The sequence below is a fragment of the Homo sapiens genome, chromosome 8 (genome assembly GCF_000001405.40).
Source record: "Homo sapiens chromosome 8, GRCh38.p14 Primary Assembly".
NCBI lineage: Eukaryota > Metazoa > Chordata > Mammalia > Primates > Hominidae > Homo > Homo sapiens.
The window spans coordinates 69,052,859-69,074,781 of record NC_000008.11 but is presented as its reverse complement, the minus strand read 5'-3'; the positions used below and the strand labels follow the sequence as shown (position 1 = coordinate 69,074,781).

At 34.9% G+C, this 21,923-nt stretch overlaps 1 long non-coding RNA gene across 1 annotated transcript in view; it reads left to right on the top strand.

Moving 5' to 3' along the window:
- Positions 1-21,923, top strand: part of LINC01592 (long intergenic non-protein coding RNA 1592) — a 192,388-nt gene that overhangs the window by 29,409 nt on the left and 141,056 nt on the right. Inside the window, exon 2 of the long non-coding RNA NR_039986.1 lies at positions 6,233-6,454. This is a non-coding gene — a long non-coding RNA (long intergenic non-protein coding RNA 1592). The remainder of the gene's footprint in view (positions 1-6,232; positions 6,455-21,923) is intronic.

Below are 21,923 nucleotides of genomic sequence, written 5' to 3'. Positions count from 1 at the left end.
TGCAGCCTGGGTGACAGAGTGAGACCCTGTCTAACCTCCCCTCTCCGCTGTCACCCCCAACACACACACACAGTCTCCAATTCCCTCAAGATAACTGCACTTTCTGGTGTTCCAGCCTTTATTGATTTTTTCTTCCTGGAAGTTCTCTTGTTATCTCCATCACCTGAATCCTTCACTCTCTTTCAAGCACACCTAAAATATCTGTCCTTTAATGTCACCTTCCTGTCACCTTGGCAAGGAATTCTGAGCATCTGTTACACTTTTTACCTCTCTGTGCCTTTCTCCATTATGTCCTGAAGAGTGATTTGTGTATCTGGCCATATCTTTCTTACTGGAGTGGGAACCTCTTTAAGATAGACTATGACTCATTCATTTTATCATAGCCCACAGTGCTCAGAAATGTGCTCACTCAGGAAGTTTCTTGAACCAATTTTTCCAATCGAGTTTCTTACTTATTCTGGTTCGTATAAAGAATAAATTAGTTTAAACAGCATAGAAATGACTCTGTTCTAATCCCTAGAGCTACTCTTCAGCTTTAATAGAAGTGGCTAAATGACAATCTGTAACACATTTTTCTAGCATTTCTCAGAGTCCCGGGATTTGACTGTTTCACAGTGGTTTCCACTTTAAGCTGCTCTCTCTCCAGCAACTTGCTCTAGTTCTCAATTCCATTCACGCTTGAATTCATCTAGTCCTATTTGTACTGATTATCTTTGCTTTTAGTCTCTTTTTTTCTAATCTAATATACTTTTGGTGGAGGCTACCTGCATCCCACTTCACATTTAGAAGTGGTTTCTCCCTGGGGGGATTCGGGTATCAGCCTCCAAAGGCATTAGCTCATTATCCTCTGGAGCCTGGGGCTAGTAGATCAGGGAGTAACTTCATTAGATTCCTCATTATGTCCCTTGTGGTGACTTCCAGTGCAAATTATGGCCAGTTTTTACAGTCCTACATGTTAAATTAATCATTTTCTGTCTTAGATACCAACGCTTTTCTTTTTCCTGTTGCTGTTTCTTCTAGATATTACTACATACCACTTTCACCCTAGTCAAGCTTGATTATCTTTATCTTCCCAAATACAGCCTTGGGTTTAAAGTAAACTTTTCTCATGTATCATTTTTGTGTTTACCTTTAGCAATCAAATACTGTAGCAGCATATAGACAATATCTTGTAGTAGTTAAAGCTGTGGACTCTCAAATCAGATGGACCTGGGTTTGAGTTCATCACCTAGGTTATTTGCTTGGATAATTTACTTAGGATTTTTTTTTTTTTTTTTTTTTTTTTGACAGAGTCTCGCTCTGTCGCCCAGGCTGGAGTGCAGCGGCAGGATCTCGGCTCACTGCAAGCTCTGCCTCGTGGGTTCACGCCATTCTCCTGCCTCAGCCTCCCGAGTAGCTGGGATTACAGGTGCCCGCCACCACGCCTGGCTAATTTTTTGTATTTTTAGTAGAGACGGGGTTTCACCGTGTTAGCCAGGATGGTCTCGATCTCCTGACCTCGTCATCCACCCGCCTCGGCCTCCCAAAGTGCTGGGATTACAGGCGTGAGCCACCACGCCCGGCCAGGATTTCTAATACTATTTTCTTATCATCAACTGAGGATAATAATAAGATCCACTTCTTAGAGTTCTTACGAAAATAAATGCAGCAATGCATATATACTGCTTAGACGTTTCTTGGAACAGATTAAGGGCCCAATAAATGATGATCATTGTTAGTGATGGTTGTTCTACAGCAGGGGTCGCCAAATCCCAGGCCACAGACTGGTACAGGTTAGGTAGCCTGTTAGGAACCAGGCCACACAGCAGGAAGTGAGTGGCAGCCAAGCATTACCGCCTGAGCTCTGCCACTGGTCAGATCAGCAGTGGCATTAGATGCTCACAGGAGGGCAAACCCTGTTGTGAACTGTGCATGCGAGGGATCTAGGTTGCGCACTCTTTATGAGAATCTAATTCCTGATGATCAGAGGTGGAACAGTTTCATCCTGAAACCATCCCCAACCCAGAATCCATGGAAAAATTGTCTTCCACAAAACCAGTCTCTGGTGCCTAAAAGGTTGGGGACTGCTCTTCTAGGGGACTTCTGAACCTATTCAATGAGATGGTCTAAGGCTCCCTAAGACAACCTAACATGCAAATACCCCCTTCAGGTTGATAAAAATGCCCACAAGGACAGAGTGAAACAGAGAATACGCACAGAGGGAATAGCTTACGTTCTCTCCTTTGGCTTCTTGACCACTTTTTCATGTTCTTTATAGTTCCTAGAATTATAAGAGCTCAAGAATCAAAAAACCCATTCAAGTCTGAAAAACATGAAAACTAGAAACCAGAAATAAATTACTGTTCATCTCCAGACATTTGCTTTGTATTTTTATAATCATTATTGAAAGTAGAGTGGGCTAAGTATTTAAAGCCAGAGTTGCCCCTAGAGACTACATTTCAGATGAAGGCCAGGATGCACATATTGCTGGTTTTGTTACATACGTTTTGTAAATGAAATACACTATTTACTTTAGCATCAAAATATTTTTGCCTAAAATTGGTAAAATTTGAATTACTGCAGAGATCATTATTAAGCTTTTTTAACTCTTTGAAATGCACTGGATGAGATTTATTGCATTTGTTTTGAAAGGCAGTTGCTTTACTGTGTCCTTTGGCTGCTTCTTCAGGGGTGGCTTTCAAATGGCAGCTTGCGGTATAAAGGATTTTGTTTTTCACTCCAAAAACCATTGATCACTGTCTCTCACGTTTTCAGTACCAGCTTATGATCTCCTGATTGGAACTAACATGACGCTTGATAAAATGAAGTACATAACATAACAACTGCATTGATTTAGAAATACGAGGACTTGTTTTGGATTCCAAGTCTAACTGCAGATCTGGGGACAGCACACACTTTACACCTTGGATTCTGGGATACATTTGATTTCAAATATTGATGGTAAATAACCTTGTCTGATTTAGTCAAAATTATCTTTACACTGGTTTTCTTGACTTGTTTGCCTCTGCCTCATATTAAGTGCAGGCATTATTCACAAAGTTTGTATGGTTCATTACCTAGGTTATAGCAAAGTCATCCACATTCCACTCTAGGGCTGTCACCGTGAAGCCTCCAGAGGAAAAAAAATGAAAGACTTCCAGTAATTGGGTGGAGAAATCTATGGCTCTCAGACCTTCTTTAACTATTCTAAAAGAAGTCATTTTAGTGGAATGAACTCATGTTGGGCGGTGGGAGGGTTGGTGCCTTATTTTTAATTTTAAGGGGATTTACAACACATTCTTCCTTCTTAACAAAACAGTGGCAGCAATAAGAACATTACCTGCCAACATTAACTCATGTAAAACAGACTTGAAGAACTCCCTCCATTGTCTACCCTAAAACACCCACTCATTATACACCCTCCAGTTGTGATGAAGAATTCGATTTTGCTGTAAATGTCAGCCAAAGCCTGGTTTGTTTTTCCCCATTGTGATTTCACAGGTTACTCCAAACAATGTTTCACAGAAATTTTAAAGAGATGGAAGTTTTCCTAATGAGAATATGATCTCTGTGACTTGCTTTTTATTATAATGTTCTTACATGCAGGCTTCTATTGACTCACCCTTCAATAGTTAACCTCTGAAGTCAGCATTGGATGTCTGGCTTATGTGTAAACTAACACCAATTTGTGGCCTGCAAAATATTATTTCAAAGGCCAGTTAAAAATACTATTTTTTAAGCTGGAAAAGAGCACTGCAAACCATAATCGGATGCACAGTATTTTTCCTGTATTTGAAATATCAATGTAGCATTTTGTAGCTAATTAATCCTTCAAATAACAAGGAATGATAGTAGATAATTGCTATTGTGTTTTGATCATATTTATTTAGGGGGATTTGAAGCTTTAGGAGCAAACACTTCCTTATGTAAACACTGTAAAATCACATCATTTATTCACCCATTCAACAAATATTTTTCTTTTCGCCTGGCTTGTGCTCAATCATGTTGTCAACCATTTTATACATAACTATGCAATAAAAATGACAGACAAACCAACATAGGAATCTTCTTAGCAACTTCTGCTTAGACATTAACTAACTTTCATGAACAGCAGTAGTTCCATCCTTTACAAAATGAGACCTGGGAGGTGAGACTTAAAGAGTAGAATACAGAAGGATGTTAGCCCTAAATACAATGCTTTGGGAAAGCCCCCAGATTTGAATGTTTCAAAATGGTGTCAATTTTATGTTTGCTGATATTAGAATCATATGAGGTCAGGAGTAGTGGTTCACACCTGTTTTGGGTGACCAAAGCAGAAGGATCACTTACTTGAGCCCAGAAGTTTGAGACCAGCCTGGACAAGATAATGTGACCCTGTCTCAAAACAAAAACAAACAAACAAAAAACCAGAATAACAGAATGACATAATAAGAGTAAATATAAGTCATGGAATCTGTCTTCCCATGCACCCCAACAGGTTCTTTGAACATAGTGCTCACTTACTTCACTTTTCCTGGTCCTTGGTGTTGGTCTACATGGTTTCATCTATTCTGCCCAACTAATCCATACTATTTTTCATTGCACGTGTTAATGTTCTAGCTTTTATTTAAAGCCTAACCTGATTGCTTCACTTTTTATTAATATTGCCTGCCTCTCAAATCCTTGGAACACTGGTCAGTACCAATGATATTAGCATTGAACTTATTCTTCTATTTGTCTTTCCTGGGCTAGAGGTAAATTCCCTGAATTCATGAAGTGAGACCGTTAAATGTAACTTTCATGTCCTTATCTTCTCCAATTCCCACTGAACACATGGTTAATGTATACTGGAAATGATTTAGAGGGTACTTAATGATCATCCTCTTTTGACTCGACAATTTTCCCAGTAAGAGGCTGTTGATCTCCCCTGGAGACATAGAATTTATGAATCATGGAGGCAGTCCATCTCATTATTGTAAAGCACTAATTTTTACAAAGTTCTCCCTGTTCAGAGCCAAACTCTCCTGCTTGTTGCACTGAATAAAGCATCATTGTCAACAGTTTTAAAAGTCATGTGTAGGGCAGGAAAACTGAAAGCAGATCATATATATTTATCTGTTTTGAATCCAAATATTCATTCATTTAACTGGAGACACAGTAGATCAAGATGAGCTCTTTAGAGTTAGAACAATATGAAATTTGATGCACTTTTGGGTTTTTGTAGCACACAAGTGCTGTTTTGTGTTTGTTTTTCACTGCTATTTCCTTGGAGAGTTCTTTTGAGCGAATGGAAATGAAGAGCACAAGAAACTTGCACAAAAAAGAGTTTCCAAAGTCAAAGAACATAACCTACAAAACCTATTCAGACACCACGAAGAAGAAAAGCCTTAAACACAGGGACATAAATCCTGAGAACAATATTTGGATGAAAATGATGAAGTTTTGTGGACTTCTTGGGAAAAAGAAAGATGAAGGCCATGAATCAATACATCTCTCCTTCTCTCTTTTGAATCACTTCCAACATTGACACTGAATAATTATTAGAGCCTTTTATGGCTATGGCTATTTTTCACTCAACCTAAATTTGTTCTTCTAATGTAGTTTGTATGTTTGCCAGCATAAAAAGGCCCGTGGTGAATATAATAAACCTTATGCTTCTTGGCAAAGCTCAAAGAGATGCTAAAAGCAAATAATGCAGTGGCAAATATTTTATTTGTTCTCTTTAAATAGAGAAACAGTGAAATATGGTGAAACACTGAAATATTTTGAAACACTGAAATAGTGAAGACAAATTTTCTAGATTTTTGATAGTTGCTGGTTTAATGCAAATTTCCAGTTGCACTTCCCAAATATAAATCCTTAAATCATGCTCTCACTTTGTTGAGACCAAAAAAAAAAAAAAAACTCTGCGAATAACCATTTAGGTATTTAGCACACATGTACTAGGTACAGATACTTTGCAAAGCTATGGTTCTTATTTTCTATTGTGAGAAATTTCCTTTTGCAAAATACTAGGGGAAAAGACAAGAAACTAAACAACTAGAAGGGCATAACATATATGGAAGTTCATAGAGAATGTTGTGGGATATCTCAGAACAAATGGCTAACACTCAGGTGGAAGTGGCACATATAGTTAGATATCACAGCAGGGGCATGGAGACTACTGAATTCTGATTCTAAAATACTAGTGTATAACTAATAATCTTATAGTGTTTTTAACAAGGAATACAGCATCATATTTCCTTAAGAAGAATAATGATTGTATATCTTTTAGGTGAAAATTCTAACAAGGAGCAAACAGCAAAGAACTGAAATGCTATACAGACTCCAGTGAGAAAAAACTGAGGTAATTGGTTTCGGTGTGCTGGTGCTTGAAACTCTATCCCAGTGCTTCCTTCAACTAAGGCTGCAAATTGAAAATGTGAAGAACCTTGCCTGCTTGAACCAGCCTGGGCTTGTGGCAGCATCATTCTGTCACTTAATTCTTCTCACAGAGGTAATGCCTATTAAGTGACTTAGCAAGGGCGTGCATGATGTAGTCACGAGATGGATATTGGTAACAGTGATTCCTTGCTGGTACTTTCTATTAAGTCTAGGTTTCTTGTCACTCATTGATCGACCGCACAAAATCTCACCTGCTAAATAATTTGCCCAGGCTTCCACATCATTGTACCTGTATTGATGATCCCCAGTGCACAAGATTACCACGTGAATGGCAATGAAATTTGTGGCGCTGATACTCAGGGTCTCCACCAGCGATGTATATCACTATTAATTTCACTTTGTATTTCAGAAAGCCGAACCTTTTAAAATGGAGCTTATTGCACCAAAAATAGTTGGAAATAGAGTAAAACCAAAGAGAAAACCTTAACAACTATATATTTTTATTTGTTTTAGCAGGAACATTTTTCTATTCATGTTCCAGATTATTTTCTAAAGTAAAATATATTGATTGTAAATTTTTTTTTCCAAAAAAGCTACATCAATTTATATTCAACTAAGTTCTGGCCACACAAAGGAAAATAAGCAAATAAAAATAACTTTCGACTCCCCCAAACTCAAAGATATCCAGTTATCTAAGCTTCCAATGTTTTCTTGTAAAAGTGGTCGCTACCCTGAGGATAAACTTGAATATGTACATCCTATATCCCTAGATTTCTTTCTTACGCCCTCAAGACTAACCAGAAGAAAAAACGCTTTCTCTTCCAGAAAATGCAGCAACTGTACTTCGGTTTTACATATATTATTCTGAAGGTGATATGTAAATAAGATTTTTCTGGAAAAAGAAGCAATCAAAATATTTTGGTTCAGTTTGGCTAATGAAATTCTTGTGTTTTTACTTCTCATGACTCACTACCAAAATCCCATTTAAAAGTCAAGATAGAAATTAGTTTTAAGAAATTTATTCATAACAGTGGCAGAGTGGGAAAATTATATCATCATTGGGTCAGAAACATTGAGATATTCCTGGGAGATTGAAGGCAGTGAACAAACTTTGAGGAGAGAGAGAGAGAGAGAGGGAGGAGGGACCCATTACAGAGGTGAGATCAGTGCTTTCAGTCAAAGCTCCAGAAAAATGCTGACCTTGGAGACAGCAATTTCACAGAGGTCTCTAGCAAAGCAATTAAGCATGGGGTAGTTGTCAGAAGGTCCAAGAAAAGGGGGCCTACCCTGGAAAGCAGAGAAGTAAAACAGCCAGAGATGCTTCTGGCCAAAATATGAAGAATAAAGTTGAAATCGGAGCAATGACCCAAGAAGAAATAGAGACAATAGTAAGAGGAAAAAACAAAAATAGAAAATAAAGAATGAAAACATCTAATTTACACTTCAAGGAAAAACTGAAGAATTTTACATCCACAAAATATGAACTGACTGCTATTAAAAAGAGTAATCAGTGACTACAAAATATGTATTAGAAATTAAAATATGATGATCAGAATTAAAAATGTAATAAGAAGGCTGAAGAATAATAGGCTACGGTTGAAGACTGAGTTAGAAGTTGATGAAAAAGGATGTCTCCCAGAAGGTAGAGCAAAACATCAGAGGTAAAGTATCAGAAAAAAGCAAGATTACTACATACTGGTAATGGGAAAGCCATATCTATTATCCACATAGTAGGGACTTCAGAACAAGGTTAGAAAGAGATTAGAGGAAAGAAATAATTAAGGCAAGATATTAAATATTGCATTGATATTACGAAAACTCACACCTTCACATAGAATGCTAAGCAGACCTCCAGAAATTTCTAAGCTATGAGAATTAAGGGAATAACCAAACAGCCAGCCCCTTACTAGTCTCATCAGACTTCTTACAGGAAACTCACAATACAGACAGAGAAAGAAAATATGTCCTGAAGTGCTAATGGAAAGCAATACATATGTGTAAAATACTATTTCAAACCTACCGGCATTTTAAAAAATACATATTCACTATCTCTGAACAAAAGAAAGAGGGATATGTAACATAAAAAAGGTGGAGAGTAAAAAAAATTAGAAATAGAAGAATAATTTCTGCCATTGTAACTCTGAAATTTAATACAGTGTAAAAAAAGATTCTCCAAAAGGTAGAAATATTATGAAAATACAAGCAAATGAAACCAACCTGGTGCTAAATGTCAACATGATTTCAATGAAGTATGTTAGGGAAGGTAGGAAATAAGATGCTGAATGTCTTGTTTCAATAGAGAAGAATGTAGATATAGTTTAATCCTTGATATGAAAAGATAAATGTATTTGTAAAAAAGTGTGGGTAGAATCTTAAAAAAAAGTATATATAGCTTCCCACAGATAAGATTATAAATGTAATAAAATAAATTGACTAATCAACTACCAATAGAAAAATGAAAAAGGGATATAATAACTAGAAAACATGCAGTAAGATAACAGACAAGTCAAACGTATCAGAAAGCACGAGAAATTGAATGGGTTAAATACATTAAAAGGCATAATTTTTAAGATGTAATTTAAAAAGTCAGCAAAATTTTTTTTTTACTAGAGACACATCACAAACCATCCCTAAAAGAATGAACAAAAATAATCTATATAAATATTAGGAGTGGTTATGGCAATAACTGATGAAATAAGTGAAAAAGTATTTAATTGGATTAAGCATCTAACTCAGTGTTAGAAGACGAAATTTAGCAAAAGCATAAAACAGCCATGTGTCTTTATGCTCTGAATAATATGGCATTCAAGTATATAAAGCAAAAACTGTTAAATGTAAGAAGAAATTCATAATACCACCAATAAAGTGGTTTATAATATAACTCTAATGACTCCTGCATTAGTGATAAATCCAGATGGAATCACTTCTTTTGACTAAAGAACATGCTTCAATATTTCCTTTAGAGTAAGCTTATGGTAATGAATTTTCTGTTTTGGTTTGCCTAAAAATATTTTTATTTCAATTTCATTTATGAAATACAGTTTCATTGGCTATAAAATTCTCAGAAGTTATTTTCTTTTAGGACTTTGATTATACTGTTATCTTCTGATTTCTGTTTTTTTCTATTTTCAGCTGTCTTTGTTCTTCCTTTGAAGAGACTACATTATTTCCTCCTTTGAAGAGATTACACTATTTTTCTCAGGCAGCTTTTAGGATTTTTCTTTGTCTTTTGTTTACTTCATTATGACTTGGTGTGCTTTCCCCCCGCCATGTTAGAAAAACCCTCATTGGAATACGTAGTGCTTTTTGAATCTGGAATTTGTTTTCCTCATCACTAAATATTTCTTCTATTCCATTCTTGCCCTCTTTCTAGGACTACAACTGCACATATTTTTAGGCCTTTTATAATACCCTCTTTGTTTCTTATGCACTTTTGTCTACTATCCTTTTTAAATTTCCCATTACAAGCTTGTCTGGATTATTTATTTAATCATTTTTTTTTCAGTTTATTCATACTCTTTTTAGGTATGTCTAAACAACTGCTAATCAATTTCAGTGAATTCTAAATTCAGTTATTACATTTTTCAAGTTAAGATATTCATGTGATTGTTTCCAATTGTTTGTATTTTCTGCTGAAATTCTTCTTTCTGTATAGAGTTGGTAAGTCAAGAGGTATTTCCATTTTCTTACTCTAAATACTCATACATAGTTTTCATTTTAATAATATTTATGCATTATTTATATAAATGTTTAATTTAACATTTACATTATCATTATTATTTGCATATTAGATATTACTTGAATATCTAAATAAATATGTATTCTAGAAATCATGTTTTTTTATGTAGAAATAAATACAAGATAACCCTATTCTCTGACCTCAGTGTTTTTCTGGTACTGCCTGCAGACTTAGTAATTGTAATATACATCTATCCCAAACAGTGAGAAAAAGGAATAAAATTAAATATAAATATATATAGATAGATAGATAGATAGATAGATTTAGTTCATAAAAACCAGTAAATGCATCTCTAAAAAGTGTGTCTATCTTTAAAATAAAGTTAGTAACAACGGTTCTGTGTCCATCTAAATTTTTATCTGAATTTTGAAGATTGGAGTCTAGTGCCCTAAATTTGCTGATGATAACTGTTAGTGTAAATTACATATTTTTATATTAATAAAATATTCTTTTGATATAAATCTTGAGTTTTTTAAGTTGGTTGGAGGACTTTTTTTATATTGTTGGCTGATTCTTAAAATACATTGTGATGATTTTTGTCTGATATGTACCAACAGCAACTCTTTGATGAGCCCTTACCGTGTACTATTTAATTCATATGTTGCATACTAATATTTCTTAATTTTACCATAAAAAATTGCATTCCCATTTTACAAATGTCAATAAGAAAATCACAGTGGCTAAGTAATTGCTGAAGTATACAGCAATTAAATTTGGCAGATCAATATTTAAACTTAGCTCTTATTGAAATTTCCATTGAAATGATTTAGTATAATAACGGTCTTCTAACATCACATTGACACTGTATTTGTAAAGAAAAACTGGTTATTTTACATGATTTACTCATTTATATAAATTTTAAAAGAGATTAACAAACTTTTTTTTAATTCAGATTTACACATGAGAAGGACATATAATTTTCTGTTAAGGGACATTTTAAAACGTTTCTATATTATGAATTTTTTAAAATAACGTGTATTTCTAGTGTGAGAATTACAAAGAAATACCAATTAAATATCCTAGTCTTCACTATACATGTTATTTTAAATTTTTAAAAATTATATTTCAAATCATTCAGATTTTCCCTTTGCTTTTTATTCTAAACAAATTATATTTTTGACACTTTTCACATTATTTGTATTTTTAAAATTATTAGCATCCTTTTAGCTTTAAGCATTTTTACTTAGACATATTAAACATTTTAAATTTACTTATTATTTTTAATTTTGCTTTTCTCTTAATTTTACTCCACAGTCTAATTTTTTCAAAAGCATTAAGAATTATATCTATTTATTAATTTCATTCTTCTCAAATTATTTTATTGTGAGATATTACCAATTTTTAAAAACTTGTAAGGTATGTAGTTCTCTATATTTTTCTTTTAACCATTTTTGTTATTTTACTTTATGTGTCTTTCCTAAGATGCATACACTGGACTTTAAAAAAACAAATCTAACTTTCTTTGTCTTTTATGGAGGCATTTTAACAATTTAATGTCATAACATCAGATGACATTTAATGTTGTAGCAGACGTACTTGCTTTTTTATTTGTTATTTTACCGTGTTCTTTGCTAATTTATTTTGTTTTCTCTCTATTGCTATGAAAACTGTGTTTAGTCTGATTTTACCTTTGGTGATGATTTGAATATAAGACATCTTATTTTTAACTTTTAGATTTTTACCACTACATTTTCAAAAACACACTTGGACTTATATTTATCTAATTATCAAAGTGAAAATACCTGTGTTTTAAATCTGCTCTACGTATGAAAAATCATTGAGCTTAGCTTGCTTTACTTTCTTTATCCCCTCGTATTTCCATTTTCCTAAATATGCTCATTTAACACTGATGAGGAGGAAGAAAGTGATAAGAATAACATTTTCCCAAATTAATTTCTTGTGGGTAGTTTATTTTCAAATTTATATTAAAACTTTTAACTATTCCCAAAACTATGTTTTTTGTTCTCAATTGTAATAGTCATTTCATATTCCCTATTTCTGAGTTTTAATTATAATTAATCTTTCAGTTTGCTAGAGTATATCTTTGAGTGCTTTTTTATAAGAAAGGGCAAATGTGTTTAATATTTCTAAGCACTGTGTTGCTAAGATTTTTCCACATGAGTAATAACTCCTCTGAATTCAGGATTCTTGGATTATAAAATGTTTCTCTTCAAATATCTGACAACATCATTTTGTATTCATCTGGCATCTAGTTCCAGGACAAGTCTATTTTTTACTCTCTCATAATTATTCTTTGCTAGAACACTATAGACTTATAGTTTTTAGCACGAAAAAATTTTAACATGTCTCTGATTATTTTATGTGTTTTCTTTAAAAATAGCAGTTTCTTTATATTTAATCTTTGATCTTCTGTGATCTTTATTATTATGCACGTTATTGTTCTTTTACCTGCATTTGGCAAGAACTTCTCAATTATATCAGTGAACAAGTTTTTTTCAGAATCAGTTTAGCCTGTATATAACACATTTTACTTCTGCGCCTTTCATTTATAAACCTTGGCATTTTTTTAAAAAAACTGCCCAAATTCCTCTTATTTTTCTGCCTGTTTCTACTTATACTCAGTTTGCTACATTTTCTTTTAAACCTACAGCCTTTTTATCTTTACATACTCACTTTGGGACCTACCCTCTTTTTTTGTTCATTTTTATTCCATGATCTTTTTTCATATGAATAATGTGTTTCTCTGTTCTCTTATTTTTAAATTTATTTTTCTGTTTACTAGATTACATCAATAACACAAATGAGCACCCCCTTTCTCTATCGTTCAGTGAATTTCTGTTGTTTTTTCATGTTGCAGAATTTTGGCTTATGTTGTAGAAATTCATACACACACTTATTTATCTATTTATCTGCAGAAAGAATTTTTTAATTTTTATCTAACCTTGAAATAAAGGGATGGCATAAATCAGTCAGGGTCCACTTAGGAGACAGAGACCACATTGGTAACTTCAACAGGGAACATTTAATATAATAAATGAGTAACTAGGGAAAGGTAGGAGCTCACCAATGATACTTGCTAACTCACTTCACTGGTGTGAGGCAATGTCTGGCCAGGTGTGCATGCTTAGTTAGCTCCATGACAAAGGGTTTTGGCTTCTGCATTATCTCACATCACCCTGGTCAGTGGCAACAAGAACTAACACGGGTCTCAGTCCATACTGATGTGGGTCCAGGTTGTGCTTGGTCGGCTCCACTTTGTGTTCATCTTCCCTTCTGTTCTACCTGCCCTGTGGACATCAAGCTCCAGCAATAGTTATGCAGAAAGCTTTCTCACAGATTGTGTGATCACCTCCCACAATCGTAAATCCTTGCAACTTGTCTATTATGAATCTACCTACCTATCAACTATATATCTGTCTCTCTCTACCTATCATTATCTCCTAGTCCTGATTCTCCAATTGAAGTCTGACTGATACTGGCCCACAAAAAAATAAACATAACTAGCCAGATATAATGTTTGCAGACACATAGATATGAATGGCCACTAGCTTTCTTTATTATACTTGGGAGCACTGCAAGAATTCACCTTTCCTTTGCTGGAGAACCTAGGGGTGCAATATTAGATACTTGGTAAAACTGTGTGGTTCATTATAAACTATTCCTCAGCAGACAATGCTTTCTTGTTTTTAACACATCTCACTGGGAGCCTTGTCTTCTAGAATACCATGATCTACAAACTGTTTCAGTCTACCTCAAGTCTTAGTTCTCCCTTTTAGTTTTAAAATGGATGAAAGGCAGAAAGGTGCTAATCCAGAAAAGTGGACAGAGACAGTAGGTTTGTTGCCATCTTGAAAAATGTCTTGAAGTGTATGTGCAGGGAGGAAAAGAGAAGCTTGATTTGAATGGTTTTTATATTTGGTGTACTTCCTGATTTTTAGAGTGATATAAGCAGATACTCAGATGCTTCAATATTTCTTACTAATTTTTACTTAACTGGGTGATTTTTATCATTTCAGATCACATAGCTTTGCTTCCATACCTAAATTACTACAAATTTGTGTCCGCTTGAATGTTATGTAATTTAACCAGAAATTGAAGAAATACCACCATTTTAAAGAAAATATGGTCATAAACACTATGGAATACTATGCAACCATAACAAGAATGAAATCATGTCCTTTGCAGCAACATGGATGTAGCTGGAGGCCATTATCCTGGGCAAATTTGCAGGAGCAGAAAACCAGATACCACATCTCACATGTAAGTGGGAGCTAAGCATTTGGTATACATGGATATAAAGATGGGAAAAATAGACACTTGGTGACTATTAGAGAGAGGAAAGAGGGAGAAGGGAGAAGCTAAAAACTACCTGTTGGGTATTATGCTCACTACTTGGGTGATGGGATCGTTTGTACCCCAAGCCTCAGCATCACACGGTATACCCATGTAACAAACCTGCACACGGATCCCCTGAATCTAAAATAAAAGTTGAAATTATTGTTTAAAAAAAAGGATCTAATAAACATAGTATTACAATGTTGATGCATCCCTTATTTTTATTTATTTATTTATTTTTGAGATGCAACCTCCACCTCCTGGGTTCAAGCGATTCTCCTGCCTCAGCCTCCTGAGTAGCAGGGATTACAGGTGCATGCCACCATGCCCAGCTAATTTTTTATATCTTTAGTAGAGACGGGGTTTCACCATGTTGGCCAGGCTGGTCTCAAACTCCTGACTTTGTGATCCACCTGCTTCGGCCTCCCAAAGTGCTGGGATTTCAGGCGTGAGCCACCGCGCCCAGCTGCATCCCTTATTTTTATAGCTCTTATCATTATCTGATACTATGGTGTATCTACACCATTCTATGGTGGCCCATGACTATTGTATGTGGTCATGAGTACAATAGTCATTACTGTGTGTATGCCCAGTGTCTAAAAGAGTTTCAAATACATAGTCAAGAGATCAATAAGTACTAGTTAAACAAATAAATGAATTAATCACTGAAATAAAAAAAATTGCTGGAGAACTGAATTTTGTAGCTTTTTACTGATTTGATTTAAAGCAGAGATTATAAATTTTAGAAAAATGATTATCTCAGGTGGACTCCTAAAGGATGATATATATAACATATATTTGAAAATTGAAGAATTTATAAATGCCTGAAATTTTTAATTTCAGATTTTTAAAAGAATCACCATCATTTAGACTTTAATTCTTATAATTATTTTTTCTTATAAATATATAACTAAAATGTATTACAGAAAGATGTATAATATAATGTAAAATATAAATATGAGAATAAAAAGTTAAATAAAGAGTTAAGAGACTCTTGACACCCACAAAAGTCTTATGTTAACATATTTTGGCATACTGCTCCAGAATATTTCCATTAAAAATCTGTACATATACTGGAGAGAAAGCAAAAATGCTGGCTTAATGACTAGAAATAGAATTGCTCCTAGGGAAAGAACACACTTCCTTGTAAAACATGAGGATGGATGCTCTTAATGTTGGAGGATGGCCCTCATGAAAGATAGAGAGGATGGGTTAGGACTGAGATAAACAAAACTAAAATACTCTGTTCTATAATACTAGTCTTGAGATTTAAACTGGTTTTAAAACTTCAGAGACACACAGGATTCAACCAGTTCCATGCATAAGAACAAATATAGGCTAGACAACACAGCAGGAATGGCAACAACACAGCTGAGCTATCATACATCTCAGTAACATTTAAGATCTCCCATGTGGCAGAAACACCATTATGTCTTCACCAAAAGTGCTTAGAAGGGGATATTTGGCAGGTTTGGGCCATAAAATGTGTGTAGAATTTACGTTTACCACTTCCAGTCTTGGTCCCTAAAAAGTCTCCCATGAAATCTAATTTTCCCTTTGCTCTTTGGTGGCCTAACACAGAACACCTGATAGATCAGTTGAGTTAGCCATGTCTCTGAAGGGGAGACTCTGAAGAGGTAGTGGGGATTTGGTAGAAGGAATCTGGATCTCTGAATCACCGCTTGGAGAAAAACTTCTCAGGACAGTTGCCTATGGGGACCATGAAAATGCACCTCTCACATCTCCTGCTGGGACCATAAATGACTGCCCCAGCTGCAGTCCCTCTGGATCTACCACTGCATTTGCACCAAGGCTATGTTTCACCCGGGGGCCTGCTAGCAGCTAATGACTGAACACGGTGGGATGGGTAAGACAGGTTCATTCCAATGAGATGGAGGACTCCTGCAGGCATTCGTCTGAGGATCCCTCACTAGCCAGGCCAACCCTTGCTTAGATTGGTGCTTCAGTCCAAGCTCCTCTTCTTTAATCTTTCTTTCCCTTTCTTCTTCCTCGGGTATCAGATCTACTTCATGGTCTGAAGACCCTTCTTTCTCCTTCTCCCTCTCCTAATAAATATCTTGCACTTCTCAGCAGATCTTGAGTAGCACAAGTGGTACCAGGAGAGGTCTGAGAAAACAAGTGGTAAAATGGGGATTTGGGACTGGCCCATCACAGTCTGCTGGGTAAAGATACCACCCTAAGTAGTGGGTGTGGCGCACAGAGTGCCTGGCACAAAGTGCTAAATATTGCACCAATGGTGACCAGGAAAAATGCCTCTATGGAAGAGAATACTGTGGCAGGTGTAAGGAACCAGGAATATGAAAGAGATAGAGGGAGGAGGGAGCGACAACTACAAACACAGCAGAGTTGACCGATTATTGCTAAGTTGTGCTGATGCTCTGCAGGGGAATACTCAGATATGGAAAATTTTAACAATCATTAAAAGCTGAGTATTGAGAGCCACAGGTCCTCTTTAGTAGCTGATAAATACACCATTATTTATAGCACCATATTGTAGATCTGATAGATTCATAAATCCACAGAGAGATTTTTTAAAATACTCAGCCAAGGCAGGTCTGTTCTGCCATCATCAGGATCATCGATGGAAAAACCTGGAATCCTAAAATATAAGAGGGGCATCTGAATGGATGCCCCTAGTTTCCCTCTAGCTAGCATTCTCCAAGGCCAGTGGCTACTGCTGCCTCTGAATGTCCAAGGAGTCAGGAGAGAACAAAATTAAGCCCCTGATATGGCACTATTTCTCAAAGAGACTGTATCAGTATTTTATTGCTGCCATAACAAATTGCCACAAATTTAGTGGCTTAAAATAACAAAATCTTACTCTCTTTGTGGTTTGCAAATATTTTCTCCCCATCTGTACTTATATTTTTACCCTCATAACCTCATAGCCATTTTCACAGAGCAAAAGTTTTTAATCATCTTGAGGTCCAATTTATTAATTTTTATGGATGATATTTTTATGCCAGTGTAAGAACTCTTTTTGTCCCTTGGTTCTAAAGATTTTCTCCTTTCTTTCTGAAAGTTTCACAGTTTTTTTTTGTTTGTTTTACATTTAAGTTTGTAATTCAATTTTGAGTTGCTTTTTGTGTAACATGTGAGCTGTAGTTTTGCTTATGAATCTTCAATTGCTCCAGTATTTGTTTAAAAGGCTACCTGTCCTCCACTGAATTGCTCTTGAATCTTTGTCAAAAATCAGGTGGGCAAATTTGGATGGATTTAGTTTTGGTTTCTCTATTCTGGTAAATTTATCTATGTGTGTGTTCTTCTTCCAAAACCATTTTGTCTTGATTAGTGTAGTTATATAATAAACCTTGAAATTAGGTAGATAAATTCTTCTTTTCCAAAATTGTTTTAACTATATTTGTTTCTCTGTCTTGCCATATACATTTTAGAAGAATCTTTCTGTATCTGCAAAAATTCTTCCTGGGATTTTGATTGAAATTGTGTGACACCTGTGTATCAAATTTGGAGGAGATTGACATTTTTACCATGCTGAGCCTGTCGAACCATGAACATGGTATAGCTCTTCATTTATGTAAAACTGCTCTTACTTTTCATTAGCTCTAGTAGACAGAATGATGGCCACTCTGAGATGTTCATGAACTGATCCCTGAAACCTGTGAATAAAAATTAACTACATTGCAAAAAGGACTTTGCAGATCTGATTAAGTCAGGATGTTGAAATAGTGAGATTATGGCTTGCACCTGTAATCCCAGCACTTTGGGAGGCTGAGGCAGGTGGATCACGAAGTCAGGAGATCGAGACCATCCTGGCTAACACGATGAAACCCCATCTCTACTAAAAATACAAAAAAATTAGCCAGGCGTGGTGGTGGGCGCCTTTAGTCCCAGCTACTCAGGAGACTGAGGCAGGAGAATGGCGTGAACCCTGGGAGGCAGAGCTTGCAGTGAGCCGAGATCCTGTCACTGCACTCCAACCTGGGCAAAAGAGCAAGACTCTGTCAAAAGAAAAAAAGAAAGAAAGGAAGGAAGGAAGGAAGGAAAGAAAGAAGGGAGAAAGAGAAAGAAAGAGAGAAAAGAAAGAAAGAAAAGAAAGAAAGAAAGAGAGAGAGAGAAAGAAGAAAGAAAGAAAGAAAGAAAGAAAGAAAGAAAGAAAGAAAGAAAGAGAAAGAAAGAAAGAAAAAGAAAGAAAGAGGAAGGAAGGAAAGAAGGAAGGAAGAGAAATAAAGAAATAGTGAGATTATCGTGTATTATTCTTGTAGGTCCAATGTACTTGTAATGTTTCTTTAAGTGAAAAAGGGAGGCAGAGGATACAGAGAAGTAGATGTGACTATGGAAGCAGAGATCAGAGTGATGAAACTGCTAGCTGGAGCCACGTGCCAAGGAATGGAAGCAGCCCCTAGAAGCTGGAAAAGGTGAAGAAATGCAGTCTCCCAAAGAGCTTCCAGAAGGAATCCATGCCTGCCAATGCATTGATTTTGGTCTCATGAAACGTATTTAAGACATATGATCTCTAGAGTTCTGATAAACTTGTATTGGTTTAAGCCACTATGTTTGTGGTCATTTGTTACAGCAGCAAAAGGAAATTAATACATTAGTGTTGTATAATTTTAATATATAATTTCTGTAAATGTTTTGTTAGATTTATACCTACATTTTTATTTTTGAGGGATTATAATTGTATTTTAAGTGTTGGGGTTCATGTGTTTATTGCAAATATGTAGAATTAAAATTAATTTTTGCATATTTTTTGTCCTATGACCTTGCTGATTAGTTATTAGTTGTTAGTTTGTACAAGATTTTTGTAGATTCATTGGAATTTTCTATGTAGAAGACAATTGTGCCTTCCGCAAATGGGATGATTTTATATATTACATCCTGATCTGTAGTCTTTCAGCTTTCTTTATCTTGCCCTATTGTACTTACCAGAACTTCCAGCACTAAGTTGACTAAAAGTGGTGAGAATTAACATCCTGTTTCTGTACCTGATCTTGAGGAGAAAGTATCAATTCTCCCCAGTCAGTATAATGTTAGTTGCAGCTTTTCAGCTGATGCTTTGTATCAAGGTGAGAAAATTATCCTCTATTTCATTATTTGAGCTTTTAATTATGAATGTATGTTGAATTTTAATTAAGTCTTTTTACTTAGTAGATTATATTTTTATTTATTTTTACATGTTTTTGACAACACATCTTTATTCTTTTTTGACAAAAAATAATTGCACATGTTTACATGTATTACAACGTAATGTTGCCATATATATATGTTGTGTAATGATAAAATCGTGATAATTAGCATATCCATCACTTTAAACATGTATTGTATCTTTGTTTGTTTGTTTGTGAGATAGGATCTAGTTCTGTTGCCCAGACTGGGGTGCGGCAGCATGATCATAGCTCATTGTAGCCTCAACCTTCCTGGCTCAAGTGATCCTCCCACCTCAGCCTCCTGAATGGCTGGGACTACAGGTGCATACAAACAAACCTAAGATGGGGGCTTGCTATGTTGCCCAGACTGATCTTGAACTCTGCCTTAAGCAACGCTCAAGCCTCTCATATTGCACCTGGCCCATTTCATTGTTATAAGAACATTCAAAAACCTCTTTCCTCGCTATTTGAAATATACAATGCATTATTGTTAGCTACAGTCACCCTGTTGTGCTATAAAGTAATGGAACTTCTTATTCTTATCCAGCTGTAACATTGTACCCAATGACCAGCCCCTCCCCATCTCCCTTTTTCTTGTATTCTCCTAACTCTCTGGTAACAACTATTCTACTCTGAACTTTTTTGTGATCAATTTTTTTAGGTATTACATATGAATGGGATCATGTGGCATTTGTCTTTCTGTGCCTGGCTTAATTTACTTAACATAATGTCCTTCAGGCTTATCCATGTTGCACAATGACACAATTTTATTATTTTGTGTGGCTGAATAATATTCCATTGTGTGTGTATATATATATATATATATATATATATACACATACCACATTTTCCTTATCCATTTATTAATTGGTGGGTCTTTAATTTGATTCCACATCTTGGATATTGTGAATAGTCCTGCAATAAACATGAGATCTCTTTTTGACATACTGATTGTATTTCTTTTGGATATATACCCAGTAATGGGACTGCTGGGTGATACGGTAGATCTGATTTTAATTTTTTGAGGAATGTCCTACTGTTTTCCATAAAGGCTGTATTAATTTACATTCCCACTAACAATCTATAAGGGTTCCCATTTTTCCATATCCTCAACAGCATTGTTATTTTTTGTTTTTTTTCGTAATAGTTATTTTAACTGGGGTGAGGTGATATCACATTGTGGTTTTGATTTGCATTTTCCTGATGGTTGCTGATGTTGAGCATTTTTTCATAAACTTGTTGGCCATTTGTATGTCTTCTTTGAAGATATGTCTAAACAGGTCTTTTGTCTACTTTTATTTATTTATTTATTTATTTATTTATTTTGAGACAGAGTCTTGCTCTGTCTACTTTTAAATTGAATTAGTTGTTTTTGCCATTGAGTTGAGTTCTTATAAATTCTGGGTATTAACTCTTTGTAAGGTATATAACATGGAAATGTTTTCTCTCATTCTATGGTTGCTTCTTCATGCTGTTGATTTTTTCCTTTGCTGTGCAGAACTTTTTTAGTTTGATGTTGTCCTATTTGTTTATTTTTGTTTTTGTTGATTTTTGTTTTTGTTGTTCTTTCTTTTGAGGTCTTGTCTAAAAAATCCATGTCCAGACTGATATCATGTAGTGTTCACCCCCTTTTTTGTATTAATTTTATAGTTTGAGTCTTATATTTAAGAGTAGATTATTTCGAGTAGATTTTTGTATATCATGAGAGATAGGGTCAAGTTTCATTCTTTTGCATGTGGATATCCAGTTTTCCCAGCACCATTTATTTTCCCATTGTGTGTTCTTGGCAACTTTATTGAAAATCAATTGGTTGTAAATGCATGGATTTGTTTCTGAGCTTTCTATTTTGTACCATTGATCTGTGTATGTATTTTTATGCCAATATCATGCTGTTTTGGTTACTATAGATTTGATTTTAAAATTGGGTAGTGTAATGCCTACAGCTTTGTTCTTTTTGCTCAAGATTGTTTTGGCTATTTGGGGTCTTTTTTTATTTCATACAAATTTTAGGATTGTTCTTTTTTATTTCTGTGAAGAATGACACTGGAATTTTTGATAAGGACTGTATTGAATCTGTAGATTGTCTTAAGCAGTATGAACATTTAATAATATTAATCCTTCCAATTCATGAGCATCAAATATCTTTCCATTAATTTTTATCCCCTTTAACTCATTTAATCAGTTTTACAGTTTTCATTGTAGAGGTATTTTACCTCCCTGGTTAGATTTATTCATAGGTATTTATTTATTTGTAGCAACTGTAAATGGAATTACTTTCTTCTTTTCTTTCTCAGATAGTTCACCATTGGTGTATAAAAACACCACTGATTTTTTATATCAATCTTATATCCTGCATTTTTACTGTATTTGTTTATTAGTTCTAACAGGTTTTTGGTGGAGTCTTTAGAGTATTCTAT